At 32.7% G+C, this 17,927-nt stretch overlaps 1 long non-coding RNA gene across 2 annotated transcripts in view; it reads left to right on the top strand.

Annotated features, from left to right (window-relative positions):
* The window catches only part of LOC105376065 (uncharacterized), an 82,523-nt gene that overhangs the window by 13,373 nt on the left and 51,223 nt on the right, over positions 1-17,927 (top strand). The window contains exon 1 of one of the 2 annotated variants that reach the window (XR_007061515.1): positions 13,661-13,702. The exons of the other annotated variant lie outside the window; for it this stretch is intronic. This is a non-coding gene — a long non-coding RNA (uncharacterized LOC105376065). Of the gene's footprint in view, positions 1-13,660; positions 13,703-17,927 lie in introns of those variants that run through there. 2 annotated transcript variants of the gene reach the window in all.

The raw sequence follows: 17,927 nt of genomic DNA, 5'->3' as shown, positions 1-17,927 counted from the left end.
GTTGAATTTTGTCAAAGGCCTTTTCTGCATCTATTGAGATAATCATGTGGTTTTTGTCTTTGGCTCTGTTTATATGCTGGATTACATTTATTGATTTGCGTATATTGAACAAGCCTTGCATCCCAGGGATGAAGCCCACTTGATCATGGTGGATAAGCTTTTTGATGTGCTGCTGGATTCGGTTTGCCAGTATTTTATTGAGGATTTTTGCATCAATGTTCATCAAGGATATTAAATTTTTATAGGATTATTTTATTAAAAGTAGAAAAGCATTTGATGACATTTTACACATATTCATAATAAAGACTTACAGAAAAGTAGGCAAGAGAAACAAATTATTTCAAAAGTAATAAACATATATAAAAATAGTTAATATAGTGAAATACCAAATGGTTCCTCCTACTATAAGAAAGAATGCAAAAATATCCACTATGAACCATTCTGTTCGATACTTAGAAAACTGCAATACAGTGCTGAGAGACATTAAGGCAGACCTAAATAAATGGAGAGATAAACCAAGTTCAATAATTTGAATGCTTTATAGTGTTAAGAAGGTAGTTCTACTAAATTGATTTCTAGATTAATTGCAATATCAGTCCAAATCTCCGTAGGCTTTTTATATAAATAACAAATATTTTTTCAAAATTACTAGGTAATGTTATAAAATATTATAAATTAATATTGAAAATATTTTACATGAAAGTTCAAATTTCTGGAGTCTTTTAAGATAAGAGGATGGCAGTATTTCTATGGTATAACTACTAAGTATATAAAAACTGAAGACTTCTATTAATATCAGACAAAATGGGCCACAAATCAAGAAATATTTTTAGGAGGATAAAGATCAATATAATTGGTCCAATTCATCAAGAGAACCTGATAATGCAAAATGTTTTTTCACACATTAACAAACAATTCTGCATTTAAAATACTCAAGCCAAAAACTTACAGAATTGAAAAGAAAAATATACAAATCCACAATATATTTAAAGATTTGAAAACTATTTTCTGATATTATTAAACAAGTAAATAAAAAATTTTAAAGAAAATATCTACAAATTTAATGACATTATAACCTAACAAGTTCTAGGATGCATAGAATATTATACTCATCACCAGCAACAACTTATTTTATTTTCCAAGTGCACTGACATTCATCACATGTTAGGCAACAAATAATAAATTTTCAACAAATTTAACAGGATTAGATCATGGAGAGTATGTTCTCTGACCCAATAGAATTAAATTTAAAATAAAAAACCAAAACTACAATGAAATCCCCAAATATTTAGATATAATAAACTTCTAATGATGCCTTGTAGCAAATAGTAAATCAAAAGATAAATTAGAAAGTATTTTGGTCTGGATAAAAATAAAAACACTACAACTTCAGGATTCCTTTGGAGAAATACGAAGTTTTTAATGTTTATATTAGAAAAAGGAGAAATGTCTAAAATTAATGACACAAATGTCTACCTGAAAAAGTGAAAATAAAACCAAATTAAACAAGAAGTAGAAAGTAAAATATAGAGAAAAACTAAAATTTTATAAAGACATAACAGAAATACAAAAGGAAAAGATGAAATTTAAAGCTGATTCTTTGATAAAAGGAATAAAATGAATTAAATTCTAGATAGTCTGAGAAGGATACAAAGACAGAAATCTGTCAGCAACCACTTTCAGGAAATAAAGTGGGCAAGGTTGGGAAGATGGTAGGTGTTGTAAAGATACTACAAATATCGAAATGATAATAACTTAAATTATAAAAACTTTATGCCAATAAATTTGATAATGGTTGAATAAATTGTATGGTTAGCAAAATAATCTTTACAATTACTCTAGAATAAATAAAATTTCTTCATATCTTTAGATTTATTAAAGATACTGAATTTTAATTTAATACCTTCTTAGGGGAAACAAATTCCAGACTCAGGTGCCTTCACTGTTAAATTTCATTCTTTTTAAATAGGTAAATGTTACAGTGATTATTACTCAAGTGTATATCCTGAGAATTTTTACATAAATTTGTTACATAGATTAACTTTTTTTTCTTCAAAATACAACTAATTTACTGATTATACTTTTTGGGTCTTCTATTAACATTATTAGCAAAATTTAGAAAATTTATTCATTTATATACAAAATTAATAGATACATTAAATACTTACTCTGTGCCACCCAATGCCCAATTCACTGAGAGCATTTTACTGAATAAACAAAAAATTTTGACCCTTGATTACCTTATTGTTGGAGGTAACAAACCATAGAAGATAGACAATAGTCAATGTAAAAATAAATAAGTGGTTTTGACAATGGACAATAAGCAAAAATACCTGTTCACTTGTTGTATTGGTCCGTTCTCACACTGCTATAAAGAGCTGCTAGATGCTGGTTAATATATAAAGGAAAGAGGCTTAATTGACTCACAATTCTGCAGGTCTGGGGAGGCCTCAGAAAACTTACAATCATGCCAGAAGGGGAAGCAAACCATGTCCTTCTGCACATTGTGGCAGGAAGGAAAAGTGCAGAGTGAAGGGGGTAAAAGCTTTCTATGAAACCACCAAATCTCATGAGAACTCACTCACTATCACGAGAACAACATGGGAGAACCACCCCATGATCTAATCACCTCCCGGAGGTCCCTCCCCCAACACATGGGGATTATAAATCTGATTATAATTCAAGATGAGATTTTGTGTGGGAATGGAGACAAATCATATCACTAGAATAGATAATATATATAATACATAAGTAAATTTTATAGTATACTAGCAGATGGTTAATTCTACTAACAAATACAGAAAGGTAAAGGATGAAAGGGATCTCTTGTTTAAGAAAGGGATACACATTTATATGTGTTGATTTTAAGGAATCAACAAGGAATGATTAGCAAGACTTGAAGAGAAAGGAGAAGCCATGTGAGCCTCTGGGGTGGAATGTTACAGGCAAAGATAAAAGCCAGGAAAAAGCAGACACTTCCTATATTCCTGTATTCATCCATTTTTATCCTACTGATAAAGACATACCCCAGCCTGGGAAATTTACAAAAGAAAGAGGTTTAATGGACTTATGGTTCCACATGGCTGGGGAAACCTCACAATCATGGCAGATGGCCAGGAAGAGCAAGTCACATCTTACATGGATGGCGGCAGGCAAAGAGAGAGCTTGTTCAGAAAAACTCCCTCTTATTTAACCGTAAGATCTTGTGGGACTTATTCACTATCATGAGGATGGGATGGCCTGCCACCATGATTCAATTATCTCCCACCTGGTCCCTCCCACAACACATGGGAATTCAAGATGAGATGTGGGTGGGGACAAAGCCATACCGTATCACCATCTCTGTGCAAATGTTCTCTCTCTTCTATTTAGCTCTGCAATTCTAGCTAAATTTTCCTTTCTAAGCCCCAATCTTCAATTTCTCAATATACAGGGAGAGTTATCCTTTCTTTGGATTATCCTTTCACTGTGTCTTCTGGAAACTGAGAGAAAGCTTGGAATAAGATTTTATTTTTTCTTTTATCAGGGATCAGCATCCTCAGCTTCTTGTCAATGGTTAAAAAATCACTGTTGATTATATTTTGTCTGCAGTTAGTTTTTATTTGTGTGTGTGTTTTTTTGTTTTTTGTTTGTTTGTTTTGTAAAGAATTTAGTTTAGTTCCTCTTACTGTATCATGGTGAAGTACAGCTATCTTCAACCTATTTTTTCTGACCAACCTTTGTCTTTATATTGATTTAACATTACTTTTTAAATTTAGTCTTAAAATTCTTACTTTAAATAGTAGTTTTAGACTACTTATATTTAATATTGTTATCTATATTTTGACCTTAAATCTACTATCATAAAATTTATTTTCCATAAAATTTAATCTGTTCTTTATTACTATTTTCCACTTTTGATGCTTTACCTTGGATTAAGTGTTTAATTTTGAATTTTATTTTATTTCAACTAATAGATTATTAGTCATATGTTTTTGCTTATTTTGTCCTGTTAGGTAGGTGCTCTAAGGTTTATACTATGGACCTTAACTTTCCAATAACATTAAGGTGACTGAATATTTTTGCCCCGATACCTAGAAAAAGACAAGCATGCTTGCTCTGATAAATTCTTTTGAAGCTTATACTACACGTCTTAGCAATGCAATGAGAGAGGTAAGAATACATACAATTTAGAAAGAAAGATGTCTTTCTTCACAGATATTATTATATTCTGTGCAGAAAATAAAAAAGATATTTGCAAAAAAGTTAGTAAAATTGTGTGTTTATCTAGATCACAGGATATAATAATAATATACAGAAATCCAGTATATTTTGATAGATTTGCAATGACTATTCATAATCTGAGATTAAAAAAATAACAAGGAAAATAAGGGAGTGCTCAAATGCTAAGAAAGACATGTTAAAAGAGCTGAGAAACTTGAATAGTTCCTACTAGCAAAATTAGCAAAACTGAATCAATAAAATAAGTAAAGGAACAGATCATGGGCCACTGAAAGAAATAGGAATCCATGGGTCCACGTGAGATAAATCCACGAATTAATGAATGAATAAAAGAAGGAAACACTATTATTTTCCCACAGAGTGCCAACCAATAAAAGGAAAAGGGTTGATATTGTATGTTAAAAAATTATCATTTGAAAATTTTCACATTGTATTTGATTGAGTGTTGAGGCATCAATGGATGCTAAACCTAGTGGGTAAATGTTGGAGAAGAAATGGGATATTTTCACACTCTCAAAGTATCTCTCCGCAAAACACTTAATTTTAGATTAATTACATGTGTATATACATGTATACAATAGATAGTCTATATGTAAAAAATATCATTTTATGTCATGTTATATTAATATAAAGAAAATGAGGAGTACCTCTGCAATAGAGAAATCTGGAAGACATTACCTTTCAAATGATCAAAATTAAAATCACCACTGATGGGAAAAATTAATTTCATATATAACCTGAAGAAATATGATAAGAAGAGCATAGCATCATGTTGGTGATTTTATTGCCAATAATGCATGTCTTGACACCTCATTATGAGAAAACACCAGACAAATCGAAATTGGGAGACATTCTAAAAATAGAATCCATTGGAATATTACCTTCAAAAAATGTTTAGGATGCTATGAAGGTTGAAGAAGGACTATGGAATGCTTCTGATTTAAAGAAGTTAAAGAGACATAGAAACCAGGAACAACACATTATCCTGAAGTGGATTGTTTTTTATAAAAAGCATCAGGGCAGTTTGTGAACTAGAATGGGTCCTCTCTTGGTGATTGTTACATGACAGCCGTTTGCATCACTTTAGCAACTTAAAGATAAATTGCTTAAAGATAAATTGGCATCGTTTCATACAAACATTAAAGAAAATGGTAATGTCCAACAGGCAAAGAGTGCCTGCCTAATTACTGTTCCAGGGGTCCTCAGGGAGCTGTTTTCCTACTATCTTCTTGATTTTTAAAATATATTTTAGTTGATTAGTTTTATTCATGCCATAATTGGTGGAAATTAATCCTTGATTCTATAAATTGTTACCTCGTCAGTTTCCAATGTTTTTTGTTTGTTTGTTTCTCTTTCCTTATTTATTTATTTATGCTTTTCTTTTACTTTTTTTGTAAAGTGGAATAAGTTAGGAATGAGTATATTATGACCAACTAAACTGAGTAGTTTTATGTCAAGTTGCAAATTACGTTAAGTATCAAATATTTGATTTTTCTTAGATTTCAAAATAGTCACATTTTCAGAAAAAATCATTAGTAGTTTTCTAAAAATAAAATCCTCTTGATTCAACAAAACATACTTGATGTGGTTTTTCCTCCCAAAACAGGCTCCTCCTTGAGTTATTGGGAATAAGTAATGCTTCTCAATAAAGCTTCGTGTCAACAAATCTGAACATATAACATCTCAGCTAGAGCAAGTTACTAAAAATAGGATCAATTTGTAGCTTGCAGTCATGCCTTCATATCCACTTTTCAATTAATCCTGCTTAATTCAGAGAATGTATAAATATGTAATTTTGCATCACTTAAGGCAGCCATTTTATTTTGAAATGCAACTAACGTTATATGCATAAATTCAATAAATATAAAGCTGTTTTCAAAAATTGAATGTTTTTACTTGTAAGTTATTCTTTCAATAATAGTAAAGAGATGATCACTAGTCAGTTTATTTTTCATAGTTGAATTGATTTAGTTGAGCTTCATTGGGTGTTCTTATGTTTTAGTCATGAGTCCATGCTCTTTAACAAGCTAAAGGAAACCATATTATATGCTAAAAGATGTCAGTTTGTGAGCAATTTAATGAATATATAGAGTTACAACATTTTTCCCGATTGGATGTTGGGGTTTACTATAATTCTTTGTTACTTTATATGTGAATATACTCACTACTCACTATGTTTATGTATGTAGGAAACATGCTAGTGATGAAAATTCAAGCAGTTATTACCCTGGTTTTCTTTCATTAACAAAATACAGAATAGAAATTATCTACTTATTCTTGGAGGTCTTAAAATATCTTTTCAGTTGACTGATAATTCTGCTATCAAGAGCTACAAGTAGGTGCTCTGGCCGTCTATATCTGTATTTCCATATATTCAATTCCTTACTATATATTTCTCATTTGATATTCTATACCCAATTCAAACAAAACCATTTCATGTATACAATGTACTTTTATTTATGCTTTTCTCTATCATTAAGTAGAAAGCCATTTGCACCTTAGTCTAAATCTGAAATGTGCCTCTACCTAACATTTCTAATACATTTTCACTATTTCTTAGTTATTAGAATAAATTTGCATAATTTCTGAAACAACTTTCCCTATGGAGTATTCCCTTTAGTTTCTTTTCCCTTCCAAACAATTTAATGAATTACAAATATGGGGGAGATACTTTTTCAATGGGTAAGACTTGACTTCTACAAATACATGTTTAATTCCTTCTCAAAATTATTTCTACTTCCTCTTATTCAACACTGTGCTAGATTTTAGGGATATATAATAAGACAATATATGAGGTCCTTGCTGTTGTGAAAGGTACATTCTTATCTTTGGCAAATTGTAGAATCTTTAGCTTTGGTATGCAAGGGCATTGGTGTTTGGTACATGCTTGGCTCTTTGCCTTAAGAATTGCCTCTTTCCACCATGCATATTTCACCTGTGTGGGAATTCTTGCAGATCTCTGTATTATTGATAGTCATTTTGCTCTGATATTTTATACAAAGCTGAATCAGCAACAGTATGACTAAACACAACCAAAAAAGAAAGCTAGAAAGATTATATTAGACACTTACGTGTATGGATCATTATGGTGAGGACTGCTAAAAAAAAAAAAAAAAAAAAAACCTTCAGCCAAAATAAATTTACAGTTTAATCGAGTAATGAATGATTCATAAATTGGAAAGCCCCCACAATCACAGCAGATTCAGAGAGACTCCAGGCGTGTCTCATGGTCAGAATGAATTTATAGACAATACAAAGTAAAGTGACGCATAGAAATCAGAAGTGAGGTACAGAAACAGCTGGATTGGTTATGGCTTGGCACTTGCCTTATTTGAACACTCAGCTGTATGCGACTAGTTGAAGTATGGCTGCTGGAATTGGCCAAGACTCAGCGATTGTTACAGGCGCATATTCCTAAGTTAGGTTTTAGTCTTGTGTACCTATTGAGTTAGGTTGCAGTTCATTCACAAGGACTGAAATATAGAAGTATGGCGTTTTTCTCAGGCCATATTTAATTTGATTTAACAGGACTTTGGGTATGTCATTGTATTTTACTAATATATTTTACAAACACCCCATGTTATCTTAATCTATTTAAGTTCACACTTTTTAATCAAATTTTACTTTAAATGTATCTAACCTCCTAAATTTCTGCCTTTGTGAACCAATAATACTTTTTCCAAATTCTTATTATAGCATATATCAGACTATATAGCTATAGACACTTTGGCATCATTGTTTTCCCATACAAAACACAATACATTTAATGAATTAATGAATGATGCATCAGCAAAGAAGGTTTTACTGAAAGTAAGAAAAATTATAAGCCAGTTTGGGTTTCCCAAGAATCAGACACCAAGATGGAATTACACGTATAAGAGAGTAACCAGAGAAAACGCCTTTGAAGAATAAAGAGAAGATAGAGCAAGAGGCTGCAAGAGCCTCCAGATCATGATGCAAGCCGGCACCTCAAAAGAAGAGAGAGCATGAAAGATAATTGGAAAGGAGGAGCCTCAGAGAAGAGTGCAGATCTGAGAAATTGTCAGCCACACTGAAAGAGCACCAAAGTGAACTTTGACCTTTAGATGAGTCCATGTGGGACAAGAATGAAAAGCCCTATAATATCTTCCTTGCTCAGCATTGGCAGGGAGCAACCTAAGGAGAGCATGGCACCTGCATGTAAGCCAAAAATAAAATTCAATGTCCGTTAACCAACTAAATGGGCCCTTTATCTTGGCCAAGGGCATTTTAAACTAAACCTGAAACAGTAATGGAGGCCATGACGGAAATGGGTAGTTGAACATGCCTCGTTATTTACTTTCATCCTTTCGGAATTCATGCATAGCTGAACAGTGTTAACATTAAAGTAGAGACTTAAGAATGACAAAACAGACTCTTCGTAGCAATAAGATATCAACATGACAGATAGCAGGCCTTGAAAGAAATCAAAGTATTTCACCACAAAAATACATTTCTTTGACATATTTTGAAATGGCCCTACAAGGCTGTTTCTGTGGGGAAAATCTCCATTTTGTAGAGAATCCCCTTCTCTTTCCAAGTCTTTTTCCTGATTTTTCCTGATTCCAAGTCCTTTTTCCTTTTTATGTCTGATAAAAATCATTTACAATCTATTCTCAGTGAAGCCTGCTACCTGCAAGCTTCATCTGCATAAGAACCTTGGTCTCTAAAACACCTTATCTTAACCCATACACTCCTGTCTATTGATTCCGGTCTTTAGATAAATTATTTTAGCCAGTTGTCAAATGCCAGTCAGAAAATCTTCGAATTCACCTTTAACCTGGAAGCCTTCACCCACCCCACCCCCACCTGCTTTGAGTTGTCTCACCTTTCCCAATTTTACCAATGTGTATCTTAGGTGTACTTATTGATGTCTTATGTCTCCCTCACATGTATAAATCCAAGCTGTAGCCCAACAACCTTGGCACATGTTCTTAGGATCTCCTGGGCTGTGTGACAGGCCGAGGTCACTCATATTTGCCTCAGAATAAATCTCTTCAAATATTTCTCAGAGTTTGACTCTTTTCTTCAACACGCATTACCACTGTAGTAGCTCTGAAGTGGTTGAGTTGGAGGTAACCCACCAACAACCCTCCTCATGGAAATTTCTCTTGAATGAAAATATGGGAGGAGTAAATTCTTCACTGCCAAATACTATTTCAAATTCTTTCAAGCATAAGGTAAATTCATTATTTAACATAAAAGTCAATCAAGAGGTAAAAAGAGGTCACAGTTTGCTTACATATTTTCTGGCACTTCTTTGCTATTGGCTGTGTCACTTTTACCCTTAACATTTCTGCAAAAATGTCTGCAGACATTTAGGGTCATCATATTCAGATACAACCTTACCCAGAAGACCAAGAAAGAGACACCAAGAGAAACATTTATCTTAAAAACTCTTAAGGTAATTTGCCCTGATTTGCCTTTGTACTGAATTGGGCCATATGCGTATTTTTGTTCTTATTTTTGGCAAAGAATCAGGCTATACTTAGAGTAATCACATCATACCTGAATCTGAAGACGAGACAGTAAACTTAGAGAAGTACTGAAGCCTTAGAAGCCTTGGATATATTGAATATGTTCTATTTTAGAAAGAAAAGGTGAGATAATGTATGCTGGCAGTCAACCAACAGCATATGCTCCTAATGAACAACTGGAGAGTCATTTAAGTTCAATGTTGGGGATTTTATTAGAAACTGTAAGATGAACACACAATTCATTTTCTCTTTCCTTGTAAATTTGGACAATATTTGCTATATTCGCCTATATTTTGGCATAGAAATTTAGGTTCTAAGTATATAGTAGTGATGTAGCCTTCTTACAGGGTCACATAGACCCAGAATTAATAATTTTTAACACTCTTTTTATCCTCTCTGGTTGGCTAACATTAAAACAATCCACAGAAAACCCCCAAGAGCTATGTATTGAGGATGGCAAAACCACAGATGGGAAAATAATAAATCTTTGAATGACCCTGCAGGAAATCACAGATAGCATTCCTATTATTTAAGCAAGCAATAACTTTTATTGTTTTAAGAGTTGGAGGTTTAATTTTTTCAGCATTACTGTTACCACAATTATTACAGGAAATGAAACCAGTAAAAAAAAAATAGAGGGAACAAGGTTTATTGACATCTATGAGGCATTTTCTTTCCCCTAATATTACATACTCTAGATTTTATTTCTGCACAAAAAATATTCTCTATGTCTAGCCTAAAGAACTATGTCTTATTCATATTTATACTCTTCATAGATCAAAAGTGTGCTTAAAATACTGTACATTTAATGAGTTATTTTTGAATGTAAGCAACTTTGAATTCATCTTTGCATTTTTAATCTTATGTTTCTATTAAATGTATTATTAAATTCTACTAACACTTTCCTCAAAATAATTCTCAATATTTTGGTTTTTAATTTTTTACTGCCTTTGCATTCTCCTGGCAGAGACCCATTTCACCTCTCCTATAGATTATTTCATAAAGATTTTATCATCTGTATCATATATATTTACAATATTAAAAGTTATCTGTAGCACGCTCTCATTGTTGCTTATAGATTAGGTTTGCTTCTCTATGTACTACTCTGGTAGGCAGTGGTTAAATATACTGCTTTAAGCCTTTTCACAGTACCTTCTATAATATCATCATGCACAATTTTAGGCACACAGCAGAAAATCAATGAAACATATTTAATTGACTAAAAATTGAAAAACATTGGTATATATGTAGGACAGATACTGATATTTTTATAAGCCCAACTCGGAAATGGTGATGCATAAAAAGTTGATAATTCCTTTTAGCAGAAACTATTAATAGTCATTTTTCAACATAATGCAAAATATATTTGAGATTGATAAATATTTTAGAACTCAAGTGCAAGAAAGCCATTAAGGGAATCCCACAATTTTTGTTGTTTCTAAAACCTAATATAATTTAAGATTATGAACAGCCTTCTTTCTCAGAAGAAAAACATATCACCAACCCACCATATTAAAAAAATGCATTATTCCAATCAATCTTGTTAATATACCATAGAAATTGAATTTTTTAAAAAAATTCAGAACTTTAAAAATAAATACTAACCATAATAGCTCAATTAAAATTATATCTATATTCTTGGAGGTTTTCAAATGCCATATCTAAAAACAGGATATAGTAAGGTATATCCAGGGATAAACTAGCTGTTAAAAAATAATTGATTGAGACCTGTTATTATTGGCTAAGTAAACTTCTCTTACCTTCCAAAACATGTTCCATTATTTCATAAGATCTAGAAATGATATCAAGTTTGAAATTTGTTGAAATGTTTTCCTATTGACCTACTTATAAATGGGTTATTTACATATTCAGCGTAATTACTTGTGCTTAAAACTGTTTTCAGGATAAATTTGAACTATGTCATTGTTCATATAAAAGAAAGATGCTTCTTTTCAATTAATTTGTATTAGTTAATAATTCTACAAATTGTGTTTATTTCAATGGAGATTAAAGAATATAAAAAGAATAATGTTTCTGTTTTAGACTATACTTTATTAGTAAACCATTTGGGGGGTGGGGCAATGAGGATAAACTCCATCAAAGGAACATAAGTTAGAAAAGCTGTAACATAAACTTAGGTTATAAGTCTGAATTACCCTAGACAGTTAGTCTATGGAATATGAGACTGTATGCAGCCTCAGCTGGAAGCACTGCCCTTAAGCAAAGACCATGAAAGAGATGCTGAAATAATTATTCAGGCAGAAATTTAGTATAATATTTCTTTGGGAATGTTCTCCGATAGTTGGAAGTCAAAATAACAAGTAATTCTCACTTCCATTCTTTGTCTTCTCAATATACATCCCTATATCTTGCAAGGCATTTAGCAAATTAAAGTACATTTACCAGCCTCTTTGCACTTTGATGAGTCAATGTAACTAAGTTTTGGACGATAACGTGTGAACAGAAGCAATATTTGCAGCATCTAAAAGAAATGTGTGTGACCTTTTACCCCTGTTACCATGCTTTAGAATTCATAGCTGTTTTCAGCTATTTTATATATAAAATAAGCATATAAAAGCGACAAAATAAATCAACATCGTAGAGCTATCGTGACATCACTGGACTTCTCCTAAAACTTTTACATGAAAAATATGTGAATTATTTCAAGCTGCTCTACTTGTTTTTCATAGACTCTGTCATTAATTAATTTTTTATGTACCACTAAAAAGCATTTTAAAATGCCTCTAAACTATGGCACACTGCTAAATATTTTCTAGATGCCTCAAAAAAGTTTTTATATGCAGTAATTTTGTTTTACATACACATGCACACTTAACTGATTTCAAGTTTTTTCAACTTTCATATGAAATTGAAAGTTGAAAAGGTACATGAAATGTCTTTTTGAAATTCCTAACTCAATTTAATTTTTTTTTACATTTAGGTTTACCATACTGTTTTAACAAAATGATCCGTATTTATTCTAATATTTTTAAAACTTTAGGAATAAATTAATATTTTGGATTGTTCTACAGTATTGTATCCTGAACTGGAACTTTTATTACTGATTTATTAATTGAAATATGAAATATGATATGCACATGTGAAAGACACAGATCTTGAGCATATAGCATTAAACATTTTTAGAACGTAAAATACTAATGTCATCACAACCTACATGAATATGAATTGAGTATTACTAGAATCCAGGAGTCTCTATTGTGAACCTCCAATCATTACTATAGGCAACCACTGTTCTTACTTTTATCTTTATAAATTACATTTGCTTGACATTGAACTTCATAGAAATTGAACCATACAATAGATATTAATTTCAATCTGGTTCAAAAAAACACAACCAACAGCGTGGGTGTCAGTGTGATATTCTGTGCTGCTTCTCAGCTGAATCAATGGTGCTGACAGCTGCAATAGCAACAACAGTGTCTTCAGAAGTTTTACTGAGAGTTTGGAGTCCAGAGTTTCTGCCTAACGGCAGCTGCGCTCAAATAGGGCCAATGGTCAGTCTGGAATCATGGGACCCAGAATGCACCACCTTCTCCTACTCATTTTTCACAGTTAAGGATGGAAGTGGCTTCCTTCATTTGCTCATCATCTGGAGTAGCAGGCCTCTTTTGCTCTTTCAGTGTTTCTAACATTGTTGTAACCACGCCCCCAACCCCTGTATTATATTGTCTATGCTTTAAAAACTATATTGTGGACTTGAATAAAATTTATTTTCCCATTCCTGGTAAAAAATAATTGGGTCATTCTTTACTCATGTATCAATTCAAATTTCTAAGACTCTATTTATCTCTTCTCCTCAATAATGTTTCTTTTTTCTTTTGCTTTTTTTTAGACTTGTGCTTTTTTAGGTCTTGTGCTCTCACCCAGGCTGGAGTGCAGTGGCTGGAACACAGCTCACTACAGCCTTGACCTCTTGAATTCAAGTGATCCTCACACTTCAGCCTCCAGAGTAGCTTTGATGACAGGTGTGTGCCACCAGGCCCAGCTACTTTTCTTTACTTTTTGTAGAGACATGGTCTTGCCATATTACCCAGGCTAGTCTCAGATCCCTGGGCTCAAGTATCCTCCTGCCTCCACCTCCCAAAGTGCTGGGATTATAGGCATAAGCCACCATGCCCAGCTAATGTTTTCTATTTACCATAGCTTTTCACATATATATGTTATTATATATGTAATATACATATATAATATAGTATGGATGTGTATATACTATATTATTAACAATTAGATCTAAAATATAGAAAGAATTTTAATACCTTTATTTTCTGTACCTTCATAGTTAATCTCATATTTTCTAAATCTGTTAATGTGGCACTGGTCACAGTTATAGCTCCAAAGAATGAGCATCCACTTAATCTCATAACCAGGACCCAACCTGCAACATTAGTATTACAAATTAATTTCTAATTCCAGTCTCACTCTTTCATCACCAGTTCTATCTTTGCACACTTACTAATCCCAATTATTTTAAAGCAAGTTGCTTAACCTGCTGTGGCAGTTTTCCCCTCTCCTTCAACTTTCTCTCTCTTTTTTTTTCTCCTAATAATACCCGCCAAGTAAGAATCCCTTTCATTACATACATCAAATAGCCACTTCTTCCAACAATTTTATTCAACCTAAGTATTCAACCTAAGGGCTTAGATTCATGGTCTGTCCTTACAATGCCGTTCCATCTTTTTAAAGCTAATTGCAATGCACCTAGTCATTTTTATTGCAGCACTATGTATGATAGCCAAGATACAGAATAAGCCTAAGTGTCTGGCAACAGATGAATGCAAAAAGAAAATGCACTATCTGTATACAATGAAGTACTCTTTAGCCATAAAAAATAAAATCTTGCCATTTATGACAATATGGATGAATCTAGAGGACATCACGGTAAGTGAAATAAGCCAGACACAGACAGACAAGTACAGCATGATCTCACTCATAAGTGGAGTCTAAAAAAAAAAGAAAATACAAACATTTAAAAAAGTTAATAGCATAGAAGCAGAGAGTAGAAAAATGTTACCAGAGACTAAAGACAGGAGGACGAAAAGAAGGATGAGGAAACTTTGATTGGTGGTATAAAATTACAACTAGATAAGAGCAAAAAATTCTGGTGTTCTGTTGCACGTAGAGTAAGTATGGTTAACAGTGAAATATCGTATATTACAAAATAGCTTGAAGAGTTGTCTTCGAATGTTCTCACCACAAAGAAATGATAAATATGTAAGATAATAGATTCACTCTGAATGGATCATTATACAACATGGATAGGTATCCAGGTATGAAATTATACCCCATGAATATGTACAATTATTACATGTCAATTAATAAATAAATAATAAGATCACTAGATTTAATCAAGAGACTCTTATTGACTTGCTCTCATTTTAGAGTTTTAAAACTAGTCTGCCCTATTGCAAACTACCTATTTTTAAAACTACTCTTCTCCTGCACAAAAATCTCTCAAAGTCTCCTTTCTCCTGAAAGAAAAATGACCTATTTAATTTACAAATATTTCAAAAATTAGTACACAACATTTTATATATGAAAAGAATGCTGTAGACTGACTTGCAAATAACATTCTAAGATTCCCATTACCTTTAAGAGGAGTCAGCTGTCATTTTGGAAAAATTAAGATTTCAACAATTTTACACATATTTTGAAAATAATTTTGATAATGAAAAATGTTCAATCTTAAATCGTGTAAATAAGTAAATAGAGAGGTAAAATAAAGAGCTTGATGTTTATGTGATATTGAGAAAAAATCTTTTTTAAAAATAAAATACAGATTAAAATACAACTTTGTGCTTTAACTGAAGGGTGTCCCTACTCCCTGATGTGTTTGAGACTGTCACAAACCTGAACCCATTTGGACAATACATCAAATAATCATTTTGCATCATTTCACTATTGGGGAAATGATAACTTCTTACATTAAATGAAAAAAAACTGAAAAAGTAGTATTACTTTGTCTTTTAAGTGGCAAGATAGGGTTGATATGATGCCGAAGTACAAACAGTAGGGACTAAGTGAGGATGGAGGATATATGAATAAATGTATCAAAAGTCAAGAGAAATGATAAAACAGACAATTCTGGGGAACAGTAGTAGAAGATATGCATGGAATATGGTTAGACAGACAGTGATATTTACTTTTGAGTTTTGCTTATATATTTCTAACATTTCTTGATAGGACTGGCATTCTAACAGTTATTCTTATTGTTATAAATTCTTTTAAAAATACTTTTTCTCCAAACATCTCAGTTCAAATTATAGAGTTAAAGGAAACTATAGTAATAAAATAAAATATTAATTATTTCAAAAGAAAAAGAGAAAAATTTGTACACTTAATTTAAAATTGTTTTCAGTCTTATTTTCGCAAGCAATTTACCAATAGATTTGTAATGCACAGTAATGTTGAATGAGTATTGAAGCTATTGAAATACAGAAGTAAGTCAGTTTTTCATTATGCTGTGAGTGATGTCCTGAAACACATTAACTTGATATTTTATCTATTGTTTAATATCATTCCCCATGAATTACTTATAATGGTAATAGATTAATATCTTTGGGAGTACTGTAAATAATTATATAATTCAGCCAGGAATTACCTTGTTCATTTGCTAACATTGTTATATTCTTTCAAAAGCAAATAGCAAAAATAATTTTCAACTGACATACATATGGAATACTTACTCTTCAACTATCTCAAAATGCCCAGATTTTCTCAATAACTTTCCTATTGATTTAATTATAGGCATTAGAAATGAGTATTCTAGTACAAGAATAAATAGTGTTGTCTCTCCTTCATCCCCCAGTACTCCTAAATATTTACTAAAAATCTCAATGCTAATCAATAGTGGAAGTATTTGGTGCCTAATGATGGCATTCCATTCCTTCCTTGAAGTCCAACACACAGAGTAATAGAAATCTCATGAATGTGATTGTGTGAGGTTGCTCATAATACTTGGATCTATAGAGAGAATCACTTAACAGACATTAGTTGAATCAGAAACTACTTCTCATTTCATTGAGTTCTATGTAGTCCCCAACCTTTGTGGCACCAGGGACTGGTTTTGTGGAAGACAATATTTCCACGGACAGGGGAGCAGAGGATGGTTTCAGGATTGTAATGGTTAATAATAGGTGTCAACTTAATTGGATTGAAGGATGCCTAGATAATTGGTAAAGAATAGTTTCTGGGTGTGTCAGTGAGGGTGTTGCTGGAGGAGATTAACATTTGAGTCGGACTGGGAGAGGAAGACCGATCCTCAATGTGGGTGGACACCATCCAATTGACTGTCAGCTTGGCTAGAACAAAGCTGGTGGAAGAAGGTGGGATAAGCTGACTTAATGAGTCTTCTGGCTTTCATCATTGTGCTGTGCTGGATGCTTCCTGCCCTTGGACATCAGATTCCAGGTTCTTTAGGCTTTGAACACTTGAACTTACAGCAGTGGTTTTCCAGGGGCTTTCAGGCCCTTGGCCACAGACTAAATGTTGCACTGCCAGCTTTCCTACTTTTGAGGCTTTTGTAGCTGAACTAAGCCTTTGTTGGCTTCCTTGCCCCTCAGCTTGCAGACAGCCTATCATGGGACTTCACCTTGTGATCATATAGTCAATTCTCATTAATAAACTCCTTTTCATATATACATATATCTTATAAGTTCTGTCCCTCTGGAGAACCCTGACTAATACAGGCATGAAACTTTTCCACCTCAGATCATCGGGCATTAGATTCTCATGAGGTATGCACAACCTAGATCCCTTGCATGCTCAGTTCATAATAGGGTTCACATTCCTATAAGAATCTAATGCTGTAGCTGATTCGACAGGAGGCAGAGCTCAGGTGGTAATGCTCACTCACCTGCCGCTCACCTCCTGCTGTATGATCTGATTCCTAACAAGCCATAGCTCATAACCAAGGGTTGAGGACCACTGTGTTAAAAGATAAACTAAGACACAATAAAATTTTAAATATGTTATTTACACAATGATTTATGACTCAGGCAGCTCCAAACCATAAAAGTGGCTTAAGAGCACCACTGAGGGATCACAGGGGGAGGCTTTTAGAGGACAGGCACAGAAGAAAACTAAAGATAGTATTTGACTATTTATAGTTGTACAGTTATTTGTACCTTATTTGGTACCAAAGTTGTACGTTATTAGGTCTATCCCACTGGAAAGTCTTCAGTTGTATGATTA

Source organism: Homo sapiens, chromosome 9 (assembly GCF_000001405.40).
Source record: "Homo sapiens chromosome 9, GRCh38.p14 Primary Assembly".
Taxonomy (NCBI): domain Eukaryota; kingdom Metazoa; phylum Chordata; class Mammalia; order Primates; family Hominidae; genus Homo; species Homo sapiens.
Note: the sequence above shows the minus strand (reverse complement) of the source record. Positions and strands in the feature narration are given on the sequence as shown.